This window comes from Homo sapiens, chromosome 12, assembly GCF_000001405.40.
Source record: "Homo sapiens chromosome 12, GRCh38.p14 Primary Assembly".
In the NCBI taxonomy this organism is placed as follows: domain Eukaryota; kingdom Metazoa; phylum Chordata; class Mammalia; order Primates; family Hominidae; genus Homo; species Homo sapiens.
In genome coordinates, this window is record NC_000012.12 from 101,192,931 (window position 1) to 101,213,406 (window position 20,476).

General features: G+C 38.6%; 1 protein-coding gene and 1 pseudogene across 3 annotated transcripts in view, besides 1 other annotated feature; both read right to left on the reverse strand.

The window, feature by feature from the left end:
- Positions 1–17,308, reverse strand: part of SLC5A8 (solute carrier family 5 member 8) — a 54,746-nt gene extending 37,438 nt beyond the window's left edge. For all 3 annotated transcript variants that reach the window (XR_007063055.1, NM_145913.5, XM_017018910.3), the window contains exons 1-5: positions 16,568–17,308; positions 11,570–11,635; positions 9,234–9,285; positions 2,165–2,232; positions 695–849 (exon numbers count right to left, since the gene is read on the reverse strand). Coding sequence is in view for 2 of the 3 variants with exons in the window: in NM_145913.5 (NP_666018.3) it covers positions 695–849; positions 2,165–2,232; positions 9,234–9,285; positions 11,570–11,635; positions 16,568–16,918 (692 nt within the window). In the remaining variant the exon portion in view is untranslated. The remainder of the gene's footprint in view (positions 1–694; positions 850–2,164; positions 2,233–9,233; positions 9,286–11,569; positions 11,636–16,567) is intronic.
- Positions 1,705–1,892: a silencer, noted in NCBI's record as "fragment chr12:101588413-101588600 (GRCh37/hg19 assembly coordinates)". NCBI's record gives its function as "represses an EF-1alpha promoter that drives an FKBP-Casp9 reporter gene in an ReSE screen in HepG2 liver carcinoma cells {active_cell/tissue: HepG2}" and the evidence as "EXISTENCE:reporter gene assay evidence [ECO:0000049][PMID:32094911]".
- On the reverse strand, positions 6,341–6,447 carry RNU6-768P (RNA, U6 small nuclear 768, pseudogene; annotated as a pseudogene).
- Positions 17,309–20,476: the final 3,168 nt, after the last annotated feature.

Genomic DNA, 20,476 nt, shown 5'->3' on the forward strand with positions numbered 1-20,476 from the left:
CAATATGCTAGTGTTTGTCTCTTAAGAGGCTACCTTTTCTCTTTTTTTTTTTTTTTTTTGAGACAGAGTCTCACTCTGTTGCACAGGCTGAAGTGCAGTGGCGTGATCTCGGCTCACTGCAACCTCTGCCTCCTGGGTTCAAGCAATTATCCTGCCTCAGCTTCCCAAGCAACTGGGATTACAGGTGCCTGCCACCACACCTGGCTAATTTTTTGTATTTTTAGTAGAGATGGGGTTTCGCCATGTTGGCCAGGCTGGTCTCGAACTCCTGGCCTCAGGTGATCCACCCACCTTGGCCTCCCAAAGTGCTGGGATTACAGGTGTGAGCCACTGTGCCTGGCCAGAAGCTGCCTTTTCTTAACTTTCCACTGTCTCTTTCCTTATCACCCTGTCCCACTTTTCAACCTATTCTGGACTTTAATACCTGGAAGAAAATACTTTTTTTGCTTTAAGTCCCTTCTCAGAAGGAAACATTGCTCTAAGCACCATGTAGCTAAGTACCATCTGACAGGTTTAATCCCTTAAAGAACAGAGGGAGGCTCCTTACGTATTTACTTCTCTGCTTCAATTTGCTCTACCACATCCTTAGCAATTTGTTGGCTTGTTTTTTAATGTAAATCTACTATTTCAATAAAGAGATTATTTTTATAGAATACAAAAGATGTGTTCAGTTACCCAAGTACTAGACACTTACTTCCAGAAATTTAATCTTCCACCATCATAGGCATCATTTAAAATAGTGCTGATTCCACCTTGCATCACCACAGCCTGTATAATCACGGATGCAAATCCAGCCACCATGATCCCAACTTGAAAAACATCTGTCCAGATAACTGCTTTAAGACCACCCTTTGAGGGGAAAGTATATTAGGATTAATGCTTCTATTAGACATTATTAAGCATCTACACACTTATACACTATACTGGAGAAAAATGATATAAACATGAATGTTGGCTAAGAAGTGCACTCAAGGGAAACAGTCAGGTTGGGAGAATCTTCATACAGAAGGATATATTTAAATCAAGTCTTCAAACATAAGCAGAGGCAAAGATGGAGGTTCCGCCCAGCAGAGAAAACAGCATGGGCAAAAACATAAAGGAGTGAAACTACATGGCATGCTGAATGGGGCCAGATACATTCCACAGAATAAAGTGGAGTGGTGTCGGGAGATTGTTGGGAAGAAAAATCCGAGTCAAATTACTAGTAAATAATATGAATTTTATCCTACAGGCAGAGGTGATATTTAATTGGTTTTCACTCAGATGGTCATTTCCACTGTTATATACTATAAGTGATCTGTACTAGCCACCACAAGAAATTTCCCAAGTTTCTCTATGACCTAAGCAGAACCAGCACCTGGCTGAGGGCCCCATCTTCTACAAGATCCAGCACCTAAAGGGTTAAGACATAGAGTGTCAAGGATTCCATAAGATTTTCTCACTGCCTCGGACCAGCACACATAATAATATCAGTGCCATGCCATACTGATTTTGCATATTTTGTCACCCCTACCTATAAGCAAGGGGAAGTTATCACAGATTTGTTTTTGTTTTGAGACAGGGTTTTCTTTGCTGCCCAAGCGGGAGTGCGGTGGTGCAATCACAGCTCACTGCAGCCTCAAATTCCTGGGCTCAGGCGATCCTCCCACCTCAGCCTCCTGAGTAGCTGGGACTACAGGTGTATGCCACCATGCCTCCTAATTTTAAAAAATTTTTTTTGTTTTTTTGTAGAGACAGAGTCTCACTTTGTTGCCCAGGCTGGTCTCAAATTCCTGGGCTCCAGTGATCCTTCCACCTCGGCCTCCCAAATTGCTGGTATTACAGGTGGGAGCCACTGTGCCTATGACCTATGATAGGTTTTTAAGCTGAGGAATAGTATGAGCACAAATATAATAACTTGGCAACAGTACAGATGAATCAAGAGACAAGATTAGGAACCATTGCAATGGATCAGATAAAAGAAAAAATTTCAGTTATGCTCCATTTTCTACAAAGGATCAAATTATACTACAGATTATTTCTCACACAAAAAAAGTTACACTGCAGGAGGTTGGGAATAGGAGAGTAAGTGTGGACAAACAAGATTGCGGTATACAACAACTGGAATTTTCAATTTTGCAAAGCAAGTGGGTAGAGTGAAAAGGGAAATATGTCCTGGACGTACCAGTGTGCAGTAGAATGTGCAGACCACCCCCGTTGCCACTACCGCGCCCCACAGATCAAATCCTGTGACTGTAGAAAAAAATAGAATGCATATATAATTGTGAAATATGCACAATAAAAATAATCCTCAAAAATCATCAGAGAAGGAAGCTATATCATTTATCAGGCACCTTCCTCTATACCCACTTGCCTAAAGCTAAAACTAGCTCCAAATCTCATAAATGTCTCAAAAACAAATGGAGTTTAAAATTGTATTTGATAATTTTCTACTCTCAGACACACAGATCTGACACTGGCTTAATTCAATACATGGAAAGGCGTTTATATTGTAATTAAGCTAAGAAACTCCTTGATACTGTGATGGGTATTTCTTATCTCTCTCCCGATTAGACGCGGTTCAAATAAACACTCTATTTTTATGTAATGTTGCAAATACCTGAATTTGAGGATAATGTATCATACTGACAATATAATGACAATATCAAATTGCTATGATGTATAGATTCAAATGAAGACAACACGAAAGGATTCAAATGTAATCTTTATAACATTGCAGATTGCGGATCTGATTTCAGAAATTTAATAAAGGTAATGGTAATTCCTTTTTTTTTTTTTTTTTTTTTTGGCGAAGTCTTGCTTTGTTACCAGGCTGGAGTGCAGTGGTGTGATCTCAGCTCACTGCAATCTCCACCTCCTGGGTTCAAGCAATTCACCTGACTCAGCCTCTCGAGTAGCTGGGACTACAGGCACGCAGCACCATGCCCAGCTAATTTTTTGTACTTTTAGTAGAGACGGGTTTCACCATGTTGGACAGGATGGTCTCAATCGCCTGACTTCGTGATCCACCTGCCTTAGCCTCCCAAAGTGCTGGGATTACAAGCGTGAGCCACCGCGCCTGGCCGGTAATGCTTTTTAAAAAACTTTTAAGTTCAGATGTACATGTGGAGGTTTGTTACATAGGTGATCTTGTGTCATGGGGGTTCCTTGTACAGATTATTTCATCACCCAGGTATCAAGCCTAGTACCCATTAAACCATTTGTTGTTTTTCCTGATCCTCTCCCTCCTCCCACCTTCCACCCTCCAATAGGCCCCACTGTGTGTTGTTCTCCTCTGTGTGTCCATGTAAACACGCAATTTCACCAGTCCTTGAAGAAGGCGTTACTAAGATATGTGCTACCAAAATGGGATCTAGATGGAGAAAAGTCTTTATAATTTGCTCCTATTTATCTAAGAAGTGGGGACTTTATTTCATTTTTTTAAAAGAAAAGAATTGTGCTTGTTTCAGCAGTACATATACTAAAATTAAAGGATAAATCAAAGCCAAAAAATTACTCCTAGGAGAGGGAGAAAACAGGGTAGAGAAGACAGAGATACAAGTCAGGCTACTTTAAACATATTTTGATGTATAGATTTCACTTTGGAACACATAAATATTCCACATAAATATAAAGTTAAATTAGAAAAAAAAACTCCTCAAAATCAATTGCAAAATGAAATAAATGGAACCTAACTGTATATCAAGTTTGTGACATTACCACACAGAGGAAACATGTCACAAAATATTTAACACAGTAATTTAACATACATTCCTACTGAGATACACCCAAGAAAAAAGAACAACAAAGAATAATATTTTTAACTGTGTTAGGCCATTATATTATTCATTATGGCTTAGAGTTGCTATTCTAAAACTATTACATCCATGGCTCTCAATTGTGACTGCACCTTAAAATCAACAGAGGAAATTTATGGAATCCTGATAACTGGGCCACTCAACAGCCTAATTAACTCAGAGTTCTGGTGATGGGGACTGAGGTATTGGTATTTTTGAAAGCTCCCCCACCCCGCAAGTGAGTCCAATATGCAGCCAAGGCTAAAATCAGGAGGAACTTAAGGGGGCTCCGGCTGGATAAAAATGGGACAATTTGAGCATCAATAATAATACTAACGATAATGCTATGAAATAACAGCAAACCTTTAAATCCATGAGTTCGTAAGAATTTTTTAAAAATCTCAGTCACCCTTGGGGGATAGTAGGAAACCAATTTATTATTTTTAAAATTCATAAGGGGAAAAATCTGACATTTATCCTCCCTTTCCTATACAAACTATTTTTCAGAGAAAGCAAATAGTTGATAAGAGGAAGTTTCTCTTTATAGCAGTATTCCATCTAACTAATGAAGAAGAATTCACAGAACTAGAATACTCCATTTTATAAGCCTCAATGAAATAATGAATCTAGAATGATCATCAATAGCTGCTGATAATTTTTCAAATGACATTCTGGGACTCCTGAAGGAAATAAACTTATAGATATTGCCTATGAAATATGATTTCCAAAAAGTTGAAGTGGAGTCTGAAAAAGAGTCTAGATCTAACTACTACTAGTAAACTACTACCAGTTTACAAGAAATACAGAGGAATGGTGAACATTAAATGACCCCATACAGATGTAATTGTTAAACCTAGAATCTGGAAAACTGGACAGAACAAATAACCCAGTTTCTTCTGCAAATATGTTGCAATTTAAATGAAAAGGAATAGAAGGGAGATTGTAAATTTAAAAAGAGACTTTAAAAGAGCCTCACAATACATTCAGTAAAAATTGACAGAGAAATAGCAGCAATAGAAAAATTGATAATTATATCTGGAGATTTTAGCATCCTTCTCTCAGCAATTGGTAGAACAAGTAAAACAAATTCCATAAAGATATCAAAGATGTGATAACACTATTAGCCAACTAAACCTTTGACCTTATAGAACATTACATCCAAAAAGCACACAATATACATTCTTTTTGAGAGCATATGGAATGTTCAAGACAGACCTGATCCTGGGCCATAAAACAAATCCATAAATTTCAAATGATTAAAATCATATTAGTTCTCTGACCAAAGCAGTATTAATTTAGGAATAAATAACAAAAAGACATGATAGAAAATCCTCAAATATTGAAAATTAAGCAATACACTTATAAATAACCCATGGGCAAAAGAAATCACAGGAGAAGTTAGAAAATATTTTGAGAACTAAATAAAAACACAAGGTATCAAAATATATGGGCTGCAGATAAAGCAGTGTTTCAAAAAAATTAATAACTTTAAATGTTTGCTTTATGAAATAAGAAATATTTAAAATCAATGACCTAAGCGCCTACCTTAAGAAGCTAGAAAACCCAAAGTTATTAGAAGAAAAGAAACAATAAATAGCACAAATTAATGAAATAGAAAACAAAGAAAATCAATGAGCCAAAACACTGATTCTTAGAAGAGATTTAAAACATCAATAGAATACTGGAAAGATATATCAAAATAAGAAGATAGAAAACTTATCGATATTAGGAATAATTAGAAGGGATGTCACTATAGATACTATAAACATTAAAAGCATAACAAGAGGGTATTATATGCAGTTTTATGCTAATGAATTTGATAAGTTAGACCAAATGGAAGCATTCCCTAAAAAATACAATTTACCAAAACTGACCCAACAAGACTTTTAAAATATGAATAACTCTATATTTACGAAATAAACTGAATCCATAAACCAAAATCTTTCTACAAAAACAAAGAGTAGGCCCAGATGCCTTCAGGGTGATTTCTACCAAGCATGTAAGAAATAAATACACAATTTTATATAAACTATTTCAGAAAATGGAGGAGGGAACACTTTTCAATTCATTTATGAAGCCTTATCAAAATGTTAGCAAATCGAATTCGGTAATATATAAAAAGGATAATACATTATGAGCAAGCAGGGTTTATCCCAAGAATGCAAAAATTGGTTTAATATTCAAAATTCAGTCAATGTAACTTTTCACATTAACATTACAATAAGACAGGAAAGAGAACTAAGAGCTATAAGGATTAGAAAAGAAGTAAAATTGTCACTATTCATAAACAACATGAAAATCCTAAGGGATCACCAAAAATCTGCTTGATTTAAAAAGCAAATTCAGCAAGTTCTCAGGATGGAATATCAACATATAAAAGTCAGTTGTATTTTTATACACTTGCAACGAATAATTGAAAAATAAAACAATGACATTTGCAATAGCATAAAAAACAACAATTATCTAGGAATAAATCTAAGAAATAGTAAAAGACCTCAACATCCAAAGCTACAAAACATTACTAAGAGACTTTTTATTTTATTATTTCTTTTCTTCCTTTTTTAAAAAATATGGAATGCTTCACAAATTTGCATATCATTTTTGTGCAAGGGCCATGCTAATATTCTCTGTATTGTTCCAGTTTTAGTATACATGCTGCCAAAGTGAGCACTAAGAGAAATTTTTAAAGGCCTAGGTAAATGAATAGATATATCATGTAATGTATTAGAAGAATATCTGCTTTTGTGAAGTGTTCAAGTCTTTGGCTCACTTTTTATTAGGTTATTTGTCTTTATTCACTTTATTATTTCAGAAGCCAATAAGCTAAGCCATAATAGTCTAATAATAAGCTAAGCCATAATAGTCATATAGAAAGTGAAAACTGAAACAACAATAAAATAATAGGTAATACCCACTAGAATGACTGAAATAAAAAAGAATAATATCAAATGCTGGCAAGGATGTGGAATGACTAGAATTCTCACATATTGCGTAGTGGACATGGAAAACGATATAGCCACTTGGAAAAACTGTTTGGCAATTTCTTGTAAATTTGCACACATTTCTATCCTCAGCTGGGTCCAAATAGAATTATATTTTTAATTTTATACTACATCCATGTATTTCATTTCCAATGGAAGTGAAAACAGGTGTGAAAAAGAAAAACAAAATGCACAAAACCTTTAGAAGAATGTTCTTGGCACCCTTACTTCACTATAGCCTAAAACTGGAAACAACCCAAGTCTATAACAAGAGAATGGATAAAAAAATGTTGGTAGAGGCATAAAATGAAGTACTACCAGCAAAAAAAAAAAAAAAAAAAAAAAAAAAAAAAAAAAAAAAAAAAAAGGGAATGAACTACTGATATATATGTAGCAGCATGAATGAATCTCAAAACATTTTGCTGAGCAAAAGAAACCAGACATGAAAAGGCTCTATATGATTCCACTTATATAAAATCTAACAACAGGGAAAACTAGTTTATGGTAGCATAACTCAGAAAATGATTTCTTGGGCCCATAGGAGATTTGTTAGAAAGACATGCAAGGAAAATTTCTGAGAGTGGATGACGGAAATAGTCTATATCTTGAGCGGGGTGGTAGTCACACAAGCTATTAGGCAACTACTAAAACTCATCCAACTGTACACTTCCCCATGCTCTGTGCATTTTATTGTATGTTAACTATACCTCAATAAAAACTAGTTTTCTCAACAGGCATCAGGTGGTCAGGAAAAAAGAAAGAAAGAAAAACTGGTTTTCAATTTTAAAAAGCAGAAAAGGGAAACTTAAGAGACATCAACTGATTGCAATCACATAAGCTTATTTGGATCCTGATTCTTATAAACACTGAAAAAAAATCAGGGAAATGTAAACACTGACTTGATATGAAATTAAGAAATTAATATTAATATTTTAGGTACAATGATGGTATGATTATGGTTTTTAAAGTCTTTATTTCTAAAGGACATACTGAAATACAGATGAAATGACATAACATATTTGCAGCAAAATAATCTATTAGAGGTAAGGGGGAGTGAATTAAAATGGACCATGAGTTGATAAATATTAACATAGAGTGATGAATGAGCACATTAAGGGGCTCTATTCTCTCTTAGTATTTGTATGAGGATTTCCAAAATTTAAAAAAGAAAAAAAGAGGTTAGACCTAGAGAATGTTAATTTTCAATTCAGTTAAATAAGCTTTTTTGAGCATCTATTGCACACTAAGTTCTGTGTCTATGCCTGTACCTACAGCTTTGGTCACAGTAAAACACACAACTGACACTCTAGTCATCAAAACACCTTCACTTTCATTCTAATTTACTCTCAGGGAGTGGTTTGAGCCTGATAAGAACAGAATGCTTGATTTCTTCACAGATTAAAGTCAGTCCTCTGGTAATTCCCAGAACTGCATTTTAAAACCATAATATGTTCAATTACACTTAAGTCCTAAATAGGTAACTCATGAAGTTTATAACTCAGTTCTCGACAAATGAGATGATCCACTTGTGATGTTGGTAATACCGATGTGGAACATGCCCAGAATTCAGAGTTCAAGAGCACCTTACACATGAAGTTCCTCTTGGTAATAATATTGTTCACTTCAGAAACAGGTGGTAACTACTGTCATGTCTATCATAAAATCAAGAAAACAGAGTGTGGAATTAGTAGGTTTTCTTCATGTCATTTTAACCCCAGGAATTGTACCACATTCTTCCCATCACAGAGTCCACATGTCCATTTTACAAGGACGTTTTAGAGAAATTCACTTCGAATAGATAAGAATTCAAAGGGCATGGTGTTTCCCCAAAGCCTTTTGAAACTATGACTAGCATGAACGTTTGCTTCAATAAACTATCCCAGCCTCACTGCATTTATCTTCCCAAATCTAGAGAGTATGGGTACTTTGTTGAGCAGCACAATCTTCCTAAATTTATTTGTAAGGGCACTACAGACATCTGTCCTTTTGTCACTAGGAGCAGTCTGATCATTCAAATCACATGGCTCTCTTTCTCTTTCATTTTGGGCCTTATTAGAAGTGTGGAGAAGAAAAGCTTTTCTCCCTGCCAGATTTTACAACAGGCCTGAGCAGAATTACAGGGAAGCTTCCTGGAGATGGGCTCCAGGTTATAGATTCACAAGAGGGGATGCCGTCAATCCTGACTTTGGCTACAGGGAGCTTTAATTCTAAAGGAGTGAATGGGCTGATGGGCACATCCCAGAGAAGTACCACCTGGAGAAGTCCACCTCTGTGGTCTACAGACACTTTGGAGCTGTCCATCCAAAAACCCAAAGAAGCTAGTGTAGACACTGAACCCATCCTGCCCCGCTAAGTAAAGCTGATGCAGGTTACTAGAAGCATTCCTCCATCTCCCCATCTCCCCAAGGAGAAAATAAGGCTTGTTGAAAGTGAACCCCAAAATGTGAGTTACCTAACTGGCAACTCTAAAATGTACCTTGATTCAAAGCCAGGGCAGGGGCATAAATAACAATTCCAGTATACAGAATCTAGGGGGGAGAAAGAAAGCCAAATGAATTATATGAATTATAAAATTCATGAATTACGTCTGAGTTATAAAATATTGATTGTTTTCCTATAACTTCAATTATGACTTAAAACAACAGTTTCAAAACACCTAATAAAATTTGTTTGTAACTTGCAAAATATTTAAGTAAAGTTGACTCTTCTGTTTACGGTATGACCGGTCATAAGTTACAAATATTTTTTTGTGACCGGCTTATGTAAAAATACGGACTTTTATATGGTGCTTAGTGCAAATGGTCACTGATCCACCAACTCAAGCTTGAAATAAAATTTCCTACATCTGAAATAATTAGAAAAAAATAAATAATAATAATATAAAAGAGGATGACCCCTCAATTATGTCTTCAAACTGTTAATCCCTGCATAATTAATCAAGAAAATAGTAAAAATTTGGAAAGCCTATTTCTAAACTTTTACTGTTCATAAATTAAACAAAAGTATAAATTTGCACTAAAAAAATCCTGAAAGCCAATGAAAACCACATTCAATCTTTTTAATATTATTCATTATTTTCATTCATACACTTAACTATTTATTGATCTGGGGTACAGTAGTGAGTAAGATAAATACGGTCTTTTTCTCAAAATGTAATTTTGATTGCACTTGATCTTTCAAATATATCCCATAAAAGCAAATTCCATGATTATTCTATAAAAGCATATTATGAAAATAAAAATCTATTCAGTACCTTTGAATGTTTGATTATATTACATGAGTAGAGCTATGAAGTCCTTCAAATGGGAGGTGGTAAAGCTCCCCTCTTTTTGCAAAAATGAACTAACTTTCCACAGTCATTATTCTGTCCAAGTTGAAGATTTAAAAACATGACCACAGGCCACCTTCCTAACACTTATCCCTACTTCTGATTTCTGTTGGCATCTCTAACAAAGATCCAATGAGGTTCTGAACAGTTGGTGAATGCAAGCTACCAGGCTCAAGTCTCTAAGAGACACCAAAGGATTCCTTCCTTTTACACTGCAGTTGTTAAGGACTGATAAAATTTAAGTTATATAATTTGCAAAGATATAAAATGGAGTCAAGTTACATAATTTACAAAGGCACTCTGTCTCACTGCAGCAAATCCTAAGGCAGCTTTTTTTCCTTTTTTTTTTTGAAACAGAGTCTTGCCCTGTCACCCAGGCTGGGGTGCAATGGCATGATCTCGGCTCACTACAACTTCTGCCTCCTGGGTTCAAGTGATTCTCCCACCTTAGCCTCCCCAGTAGCTGGGATTACAGGCACCTGCCCTCATGCCTGGCTAATTTTTGTATTTTTGTAGAGATGGGGTTTCACCATGTTGGCCAGGCTGGTCTTGAACTCCTGACCTCAGGTGATCCACTTGCCTTGGCCTCCCAAAGTGCTGGGATTACAGGCATGAGCCACCGCGGCTGGCCCTTAGGTAGCTTTTGATTGGAGAAGTGGAATTGCAATTAGAGACAAGAATGCAAATCTCTTCCACAACCTCCATTAGCAAACCCAGCCCTAAAGTGCTTAACTGACAAGAGGAAAATGTGTATATAAATAGTCATGACAATGATCATTACAATCTTCCAGAAGCACGGTGAACAGTGGAAAGCATTCTCTGTCACTGACCACTTGGCAAATCCTTGCTTTCCCTTTGTGTCAATCAGTAGATCTATAAGCGCATGTTCTTGAATTACTGGATTGAGTATTTGGCTTTAAAGAGTCCTCCAGAGTTTTGATTCTGTTGTTTTACACTCTAAGGACTGCTTTAGTTGGTTCTTGTAGTCTAATTTTTAAAAGAGCACTGACTTTTAAAGTACGATTTCAAAGAAAATTATTTCCTACTGTCTTCCTATGGAAGTTAATTTTTTCATACCTATTAATATGTTACAGAAATACTGTGAACATGCTACTTGTTTTCCTTTTGTTAGAATTCCCACTGTCAGCAACAAATATCTTTGTCATGTAGTAATGCCCTTCCTGTCACCTTGGTGGAGGTGAAGGGAGGTCAGATAAAGGGAAGCATATTTTCCGACTGTTGCTTTATCAGTATAATATTTAACATTCACTTAAATCCCAGGAAGTAAAGCATTTACTGAAACACTGTTTGATGATCTTAAGGGTTGATGCTGTACAGTGACAAGTGTTTTTCCTTTTTTGTTCCCTCATTTTTTCAACATCTCTTTTTTGTCTTTTATGTGATTCCCAGGTAAGCTTAATCCAGATGCCATGGTTAAAAACATTTTAGCTGACAAAAGATAAAATAAATGGAGAGCTACTTACTGTTTGAACAATGAAGAGGACTGTTCCACAGAGACGAACACATTTGTTAAATCGAAGTTCTAAATACTGTTGCAAAAAAAAAAATTATGCGAATCCTCTGGATGCCTTTTTTAAAATCAGCAGCTCAAGAAGAAAATTTAAATTTAGAAATGTAAAGCAACTTCATAACTGATTTGTATTCTGTATTTTTATTTTAGTGTTATTTTTATTTATACACAGCAAAATTGACTCTTTTGTTTTAGAGTACAGTTCAATGGGTTTTAACACACACTGATTCATGTAACCCCTGTCACAATCAGGACACAAGACAGTTCCATCACCCAGAAAACTCCCTCGGGCTTCCCCTTCATGATCAAGCCCTCTTCTCCCCCGCCAAACCCTAGCAATCACTGATCTGCTTTCCCTCTCTAGTTTGGCCTTTTCCAGAATGTCATATAAATGAAATTACTTTCTGTATTTTTAGAGCGAGCAATCTGTTGTTCTCTTTCTCTTGGTATCTACTCCATACATTTTTCTTGGCTCACCTGGGGCATCAACCCTTTCTGACTGCAGACTATTGTGATGGAATAGTCAGCCAATTGCCCTGCCTCTTCTGACCAAGAGGAAATCACATGATCCCAGCTCAGCCAATCAGCTTTTCCTTCCATTGGGTATTTGAATCTTAAAGGCAGGATACAAAGACAAAAAATGACTGATCCTGACAGAGTGGCCTGAAAAGGCTGCCCCGGTTTCTGTCCTTTCCAAGGCTTGCTTACTCAGCCTGTCCCTCTGTTCTATGAGCTACCCCCATGTCCTTCTAACAATTGTTTTTTTAAACTTAAATCACCCAAGTCAGTTTCTGTTCAGTGCCAATGACCATGCCAATTTTTCCTATTCTACTTGAAATCTGCTATGTCTTATAACATAGTCTGCTTGTCTACTATGTTATATAATGTATTATAATATACATATTACAGAGTTAGGATCATAGAATTTCAGAGCTGGGAGCTAAGATTTTCTTTAACTTGAATATAATTACTAAGAAGTTTAAGGCTGACAACAATCTTCATAGAGTAGAAAAGAAGAGGAAGGAAAAACTGGCATTAGGTAATAATCAGAGGAAAAGACATCTGATTTTTTTGCCCCGTGATCATGGCTAACACATACAGAGTACTTGCTGTGTGCATGGTCCTCCCAACAACTCTATGAGCCAGGTACTGTGTATAAACCCATGTTAGAGACAAGAACACTGGGCCTCAGATAGAACATCAAGTTGAAAACCTTGCAAACTTGCCAGGGCCACAGTACACATTTAAAACCTTTGATGCCAAAATCTGTGCACATTTTTCTGCATATATAAGTAAATAATCTGACTACATATTTAAGACTCAATAAGTGAATGGGTGAAACTAACACAGAGTAAGACCTCACTCCCAGATCACTGATCGGTGACAAAAATACACAGTGCCTTGTAGTACACTGGAGGAAGAGTTCCAGCCCTTGACCCAGTCCCACGCCTGACTCCATCAGCTTGTGGCAATCATTCTCCAAATGTCAGGTTCTTTCTCTTTAAAATGAGGGGCATAATAATAATTTGTTTCCCTCTCATTTTGCAGGGTTTGGAGACTATTCAGTGACATAAATGGATGGGGAAATGTAAACTCAAAAAGTAAGATATTAAGAACCTATTGGTATCCAAATCAATGGGCCTGGAGAAAATTGAATCTCAATAAATTACAAGTGTCAAAATCATTCAGGGATATTTTGGAAGCCTTTTTAGAAGACTGGAGAAGTTTATTAAGTCTGGGAACAAGGCAGTATTATTATATTTCTTTAGAAGTTTATTTTTGGTTTGTTTGTTTTGTAAATCTCTATGAATCACTAAACATGTGAATGGACATCAATAGAAGAGAAGTCTTTGTTTTTTCTAGGTACATGAATCCAAATTGCTGGAGACCCAAATAAATTGAACCAAACTGAAGCAAGTAAGTTAATCAACTGATCCAGGGAAACCTGTGATTTAAGCCCAAGGACCAACTCAAGACAGAACCAAGAAGTCTATTATGATCTCAGCCATCAATTACTAGGCTGCTGAAGAAATACCCGGAGACTGGACCAGATGCCCAAGTCACTGTGCAGCAGCCTTAGGGAATACTTGTAAGACTTCTAGACATAATTACAGAGTAATGATAGGTGCCTAAATTAATCAAGATCTCTCGTGGTCCTCAGAACTTTGAATTGCTTCTGTTGATATGAATAAATATATAAATAACAAAGAAACATAAGGTCTAAGCAACTCAATTTAAAACACAGATTTAGTTGGCTCCAGAAGGATCTTGAAGAATTGGTGGATTAAATTGGATTCCTGCATTATACTTGGGTCTGGAAGTTGCTAAACACCTATCAGGACTACATTTTGAAGGCAGTGATGGATGAAAAAAAATGCTTGTGAACAGCTAATTTTCACTAAAGAAATGTCAACAGGGAGAGATTTCATACTTGAGCAAGAATGCCAGGGTATCAATCACTCAACACTGTACAGCATATTCTGTATAGATTCTGTACCTCTCAGCATAAAACAATAAACAATATACTCCACAGGAAAGTCTTTGCCATGACCAATTGGGAGGGTCTTAGCATGTTGCCTAACTTCCCCGTTCCCAACTGCCTGGCACCCTGGAGGTGGATGCCTGCAGTGTGCCCACAACTTCACGTGTCCTATATTGCTTCCCTTGTTCTCTCTGCACTGGCGTAAGCATTGCTTGGGGTTATAACAGACTCATCAGAGCCTTCAGAAGCAGCCAGTATGCTGCTAGGCATATGTCTACGCTGCTTCACATTCCTAGTAGCTTAACTTACTCTGAGTCTCTGTCCACAAAATGGGGCTCTTGATAGTACTTGCCTCATAAGGATTGTTCTGAATGTGAGTCAGATAATGTATGTAAAACATGCAATGCAGCCCAGTGCCTGGCATGTGTTCAGCATTCAATGAACTTTTGCTTTTTGACATTTTTAGCTGGAACCCCTGCTAACTTAGCCTCTACCACTGCAAGCATGAGGGAAATCTGTTTCTGCTTGAGTTAATGTTGTAGCCCCGAAGAGGCATGGGTCAGTGGTTATGAGAGCAGCATTCATGTGTGGGGACTGAAGTCCTCCTGCCAGATTCTTCAAACCCTTTCCAAGTTTGGGAATTGGTTAGCTATAGATCACAGCTCACAGACTCAGATGCCTCCAGGTTCCATCAGGTAACATACATAAGTGACAGTGGCCAGGTGTTCACATATTAACATGTTGGAATATTCCTCCCACCCACTAAGATATATGTTTTCTTACATCTCCCTGGAAACAAGAGATCCCTTTACCCCTGTCCATTTTGCCTTTCACATTTTTTGATAAAGACATAAATGCAGATAAAAATTTCTCTACCAAAAAAACAGTAACCATGAAAACACAAAGATAAGACTTCAATATAGAAGTTTAATAGAGAGTGAGAGCAATAGCTATAAACTTGAGTTCCTGTGGCCACAGGGAGCATGGGCCCAGTGTTACCAGCCTTTTGAGTTCTCGAAAGAAGTCATAGTCTGAAATTATATTTTATTTCTTCTCACTATAAGGAGAAGTAAAAAAAAAAAATGACTGAGAAGTGAATTTGGTCTGGGGAATTTCGCCAGTTTGTCACTTCTGAGCAAACCTGAGAAACTGCATCCTGCTCACTTCTGGGATAATTATTGAGCTCTCCCAAACACAGCCCCAGAGTGAATGGAAGGCAATGCTGCCCAGGGGTGCCTCGCCCTGGAAGATGTCACTAGAGCCCAGGCAGAGTGTGTCACCAATGTTTGTTGTGCCGTTAAGGCCCTGTCCCCAGCACCAGTTGAACCAGCCTCACTAGGAAACCACCTGCCAGAATCTCAGGATTGGAGTCCTCTGGGTAATGGCCTAATAGAGAGGAAACTTCTGCAGGCTTGTCCCATGTAGCTCAAGGACCAGTGCTGGGTGAGGGAGACCACTGAAGGCACTGAACTGGGCCCCGCCACTCCCCTGAGCTTTGATCCCGCCCCCACCTCCCATTCAACAGCTCTTTAAACTAAACGTGCATCATCTTTTCAAAGCCCTTTCTTGCAGACAACTTGAGAAAACCTATAGCCAGGGGACCTGTGCAATAGAGGAAAGACAGTTTTCCTTAATTGTCTTTCCATAGAGAAGGCAGAGCTGTTTGAGAACCTTGCTGCCTAATTTTCCTACTGATCCCAAGATAACTACCACCATCACAACTAGCACCACCACAGTAATTATGGCCAATACCTATCTGGCACTTACTCTGTGTCAAACTCTATTCTAAATGCTACACCTTGCATCATCTCATTTAATCCTCCCAACTGGATGAGGTAGGTGATATTATTTTATTTTTGAGGAATAGGCACAAAAGGTTGGGTAAGTCACCCAAGGTCACCCAGCTAGTAAGTGGTAGAATCTGGTCCGAAATACAGGTACTGGTACACCTTAGCCACTTGGGTGCCTGTTTCAGTGGAAAGGGGGTGGGTGTGGAAGGGGAAGGAAGGGGAGTACAAATTCTTTACCAACTATCTTGGAAGAGTGAATGGGGCTGAGGACCTGGAACAAGAGTATTCCTTTCAAGAAGCAGGGCCTGAGACCTGAAGAACTTACCTTCCCCAAAAATCTTTCCCCTTGCCTGGGAATCAAAGATGCTAAAGGTAGAAAGGACCATAGCGAGCACTACTGTTGCAATCCGTTCACTTTGGAAGCCTCTTTTTTTCACTAAGCCCAGGAGAGTAAATCCCAAGAATTTTTTCACCCTTAGAGGACGCCTCTCAGTAGAAGGGAAAGATGCCAGGTGAAGATCGGGGGACGGGGAGGAGTGAAGGGAGGGTGATGATGACGATGGACGGGGAGAGATTTCGATGTGGCAGTGACAGTCTGCCCCCAAGAAAACGCCTCCAGAGGTCTGCAGAGTCCCCTTCCCCCGCGCCCTGCATGGTCCCAGCCCACCCTGCCCCTTACCTCGTAGGTGCTGGTAATTCCCAGTTTGTAGAACACCGGGAGGAAGACCTCCGCGCTGATGACCACCACAAAGAAGTAGGTGAAGGCAAAGATGCTAAAAATGGCCCCAAAACGGTAGACCTCGGAGGGGGTGCCCAGGACAGTGACGGCTGACATGAAGCTAGCGGTGAGGGACAGCGCCACGGGCACTGCGGTCATTCTGCGGCCGCCCATCAGGAAGTCCTTGGAGGTCTGCTGGCCGCCCCCAGCGAAGGCGTAGTAGATGCCGATGGCGGCCGAGATGACCAGCATGCCCGCGAACACCACGTAGTCCCACACCACGAAGGTGCCGATGCCCCGTGGCGTGTCCATGGCCGCACGGTCGCCTGAGCCCTGCGCGCAAACTGGTGGCCCCGCGGCGCGCAGCCGGAGCCCGGCGCGCACTTCTTATCCCGGATCCCTGGCGCGCAGGCGTGGCGTCCCGCGGGGACTGGAGGCGTCCTCCAGGTGTCGGCCTCCGAACGCACCCCGAGGCGGGGTGAGGGCTGGCAGTCGCCCCTGCACCCGCCGCTGCGAGCCGCGCCCCTCAAACCCAGGTATGGGACCTCGGAAAATCGACCCGCTGCCCTGAGTGCTCACCACGTGAGGAACTGGAGTGGCCGAGTTCGCCAAGGCGCCGGGGACACCTGAGCAGATGAGAACTGGAGCCTCCAGCTGCTTCCAGCGAATCTACACAGGGAGCGCTCTGGGCAGGTTTTGTTCAAGTGGTACCCGAGGGGACGCACCATTTAAATAAGCAGGCGACCGGTGGAGGAATGTGGGACAAAGGGCAATTGTCACGCCTTGAATTTTAGCTTTCCAGTTCAACAGTCCGGGTCCTTACGGAAAGGGACGCCTGGAGTTTTTAGACTGCCTTATTTGATAGGTTAATGGGTGACAGTAGATTAATGCAGGTGACAATCTGTAGTGAACAGAGATCACAGTCCTTAGACAGGTCATCGATCGTAAAGGAGAGCAGGAAATCTGTGCTACTGTTTCCTTGTGTTTTTACTCAACAAACGTTTCTGAGCCCCTTCAGCCTGTTGTTGGAAATAGTAGTTATTGGAAGATTAACAATAATATCCGCTTTTTAATGAGCCTTCATGTGACACATACATGCTTGGCACGTTTTATATTAGTCAGTGTAATTCTTTTGGTGAACCAGTGTAATTCTCATTACCCTTGAGATAGGCATTTTCAAATGCAGAAATTACTGTCGAATGATTAAGTCACTTGCCCAATCAACTGGCAGAGATTAAGATCTTTAATCTAGGTCTGATTTCAGAGTTTGCTCTCTTAATCACAATGTGTAGATACGTGTTATAGGTAGGCAAAATGTGTACACTTAAATGAAGACACTTGAAAACACTGAAGAAAAGATCATTTCCAGCATCACCACTCAGGACATATTTTAAGTGGCTTGTCTTGAAATACTATTAACACATGAATCACACTCAAATAATATGATTCTCAGGTTTTCCTTCTAAAATAGACGCTCCAGCCAAATGTGCTCAGCTATCAATCCATTTCAGGCAGTCCTTGTTCATTTGTATACAACTTTATAATATACCATCTGGTCCTAGGTAAACAATCCACAGAATGCATTTAGTCTAGCCTAGTGTATGATAAAAAAGCTATATCAGATTTTATTTTTTGTAAACTGATGTTATTTGTATAATATTTTCAGAAGGAAATAAAGAGGGAAATAGAAACTAAATCCAAGTAATTCAATTGGTTAAACAAATATGTGGTTTGGAATTACGTCCTACCAGTGTGAAATGTACTATATTTATATATTACATATGATGTTATACATACTTATATATAATACATAAATTATATGTGTATATTATATAACTTATATATATATATAAAGCAACCTGTTAGAGTAACACACAAAAGAATCCACCTTGATCCTTCTGGGAATTGGATTCACTTCTGGGAACTTCTTTAAAGCCAACAGCCCTAGATATGGGAAAATGCTATCTAAACAAAATTCATCTTCTTTTGGACACCTAGAGTTAAGAACAGAACTTCAGGCAGCTAATGATCAATACATTTCTATAGTCATGTTAGAAGCAGAATAGTCTGAGGTTAAATCTGTAGACTGCAAACTCACCTCTTGACTGCCACCTACGAGCCATGATATCTTAGCCAAGTGCTTTCTTCTACGTCTTAGTTTCCCATATCTTAGATGGGGATATTGGTTTTTATCTCACGGAATTAAAATGGGTTAAATGAGATTATATGTGAATAGACCCTGACACTATAAAATACTAGCACTGTATGATTGTTTAGCTGCCTTCCAATTTATTGAGAATTGGGCTACTGTAAGTTATGGCTTGGAAGTACTGCTATTAGACACAGCTTTTGTTTTCCCAAGCTATGTCATCTTGCTTTATAACATTTACATAATGCCATGAACTATGTGTAATCCATACCCTATTCTTCTTTCACATCTTTCGGGTGTCTGATGTATGTCTCCAAATAATATTTTCATGAAGAATACATGAATGCTCTATTTCCTGAGCCTTTGAATATATGGGATTGTTCATTTGTTGTCTTCACATATGAGAAAAAAAATTCAGCTGAGAAAATTCTTAGGTCATAGTCTTTTTCTTCAAAAAATTTTAAGTATTTTTTCTGTTGTCTTCTGGCATTTCTTACTGGAGAGCTATCTGAGAACAGCTAGATTTTTGTTTCCTCATAAATTACTTGCTTTATGACAGAATACTAATAGATGTGATTTTTTTCTTTATACTTGCATTCCCAAACCTTTGCCAGGGTATTTCTAGAATAGCCCTCTTTTCATTACTATCATCTAGAATGGTGAGTCCTTTCAATTTGAATAGTCAGGTCTTGTTTTTTAAAGTGATATCTTTAATTATTGTTGTTCTAATTCTTCTAGTACCTTCCTCAGAAATGTATAATTCTTAAATAAATCTATCCAGTCCTCTATATTCTTCTTCTTTTTTTTTTTTTTTTTTTGAGATGTAGTCTCACTCTGTTGCCCAGGCTGGAGTGCAGCGGTGTAAGCTTGGCTCACTACAACCTCCACCTCCCAGGTTCAAGCGATCCTCCTGCCTCAGCCTCCTGAGTAGCTGAGACTACAGGTGCACACCACCACGCCCGGCTGATTTTTGTATTTTCAGTAGAGACAGGGTTTCACCATGTTGGCCAGGATGGTCCCTATCTCCTGACCTCGTGATCCGCCCATCTTGGCCTCCCGAAGTGCTGGGATTACAGACGTGAGCCACCATGCCCAGCCCCAGTCCTCTATATCATTCACTTGAATCCTTTTTTCTTTTACCACATACCTGAAAAGATCTTAAGTTTGTCTTTCATGTCATTGACTCTGGTGTCTGTCATAGTAATGCTACAGGAGTCTACATTCCTACTCCCGATGTAGATTTTACTTCTGTCATTACATTTTTAATGTCGCTGAATTTTTAAAAGTAATCTTCTCCCTTTTATCTCATTCTAAAGTCTTTTCACCTTTAGAATGCCAAGCAGTTTTCTTAAAATATTTTTTACATTCTAGGAGCAAATAATTTTTATAGTGATTTTCTTTCTCTGAGTCTTTGAAGCATTGATCCCATTCCTCTGCCCCTCAGGAGTTTTTCATAGGATATATATTGATGATTTTTCTGGCAATCATCTCAAATGGAAGGGTAATTTCCAGACTTAGTGTTAGCCAAAAGATCAGTTGTGTTGTTTTCTATCTTATTATTCTCTTCTTTGGGGCTCTAGGTTTTACAACTGGATGGCATAGCAAAGTTTAGTACCTAACTCAATAGCATGATAAGCAGATTTGCATTTACTATGACTCTTTTGGACAGAGACAATATTGTCACCTGTTCCCTCTGTCTGGCGTTCTCACACTATCACCAT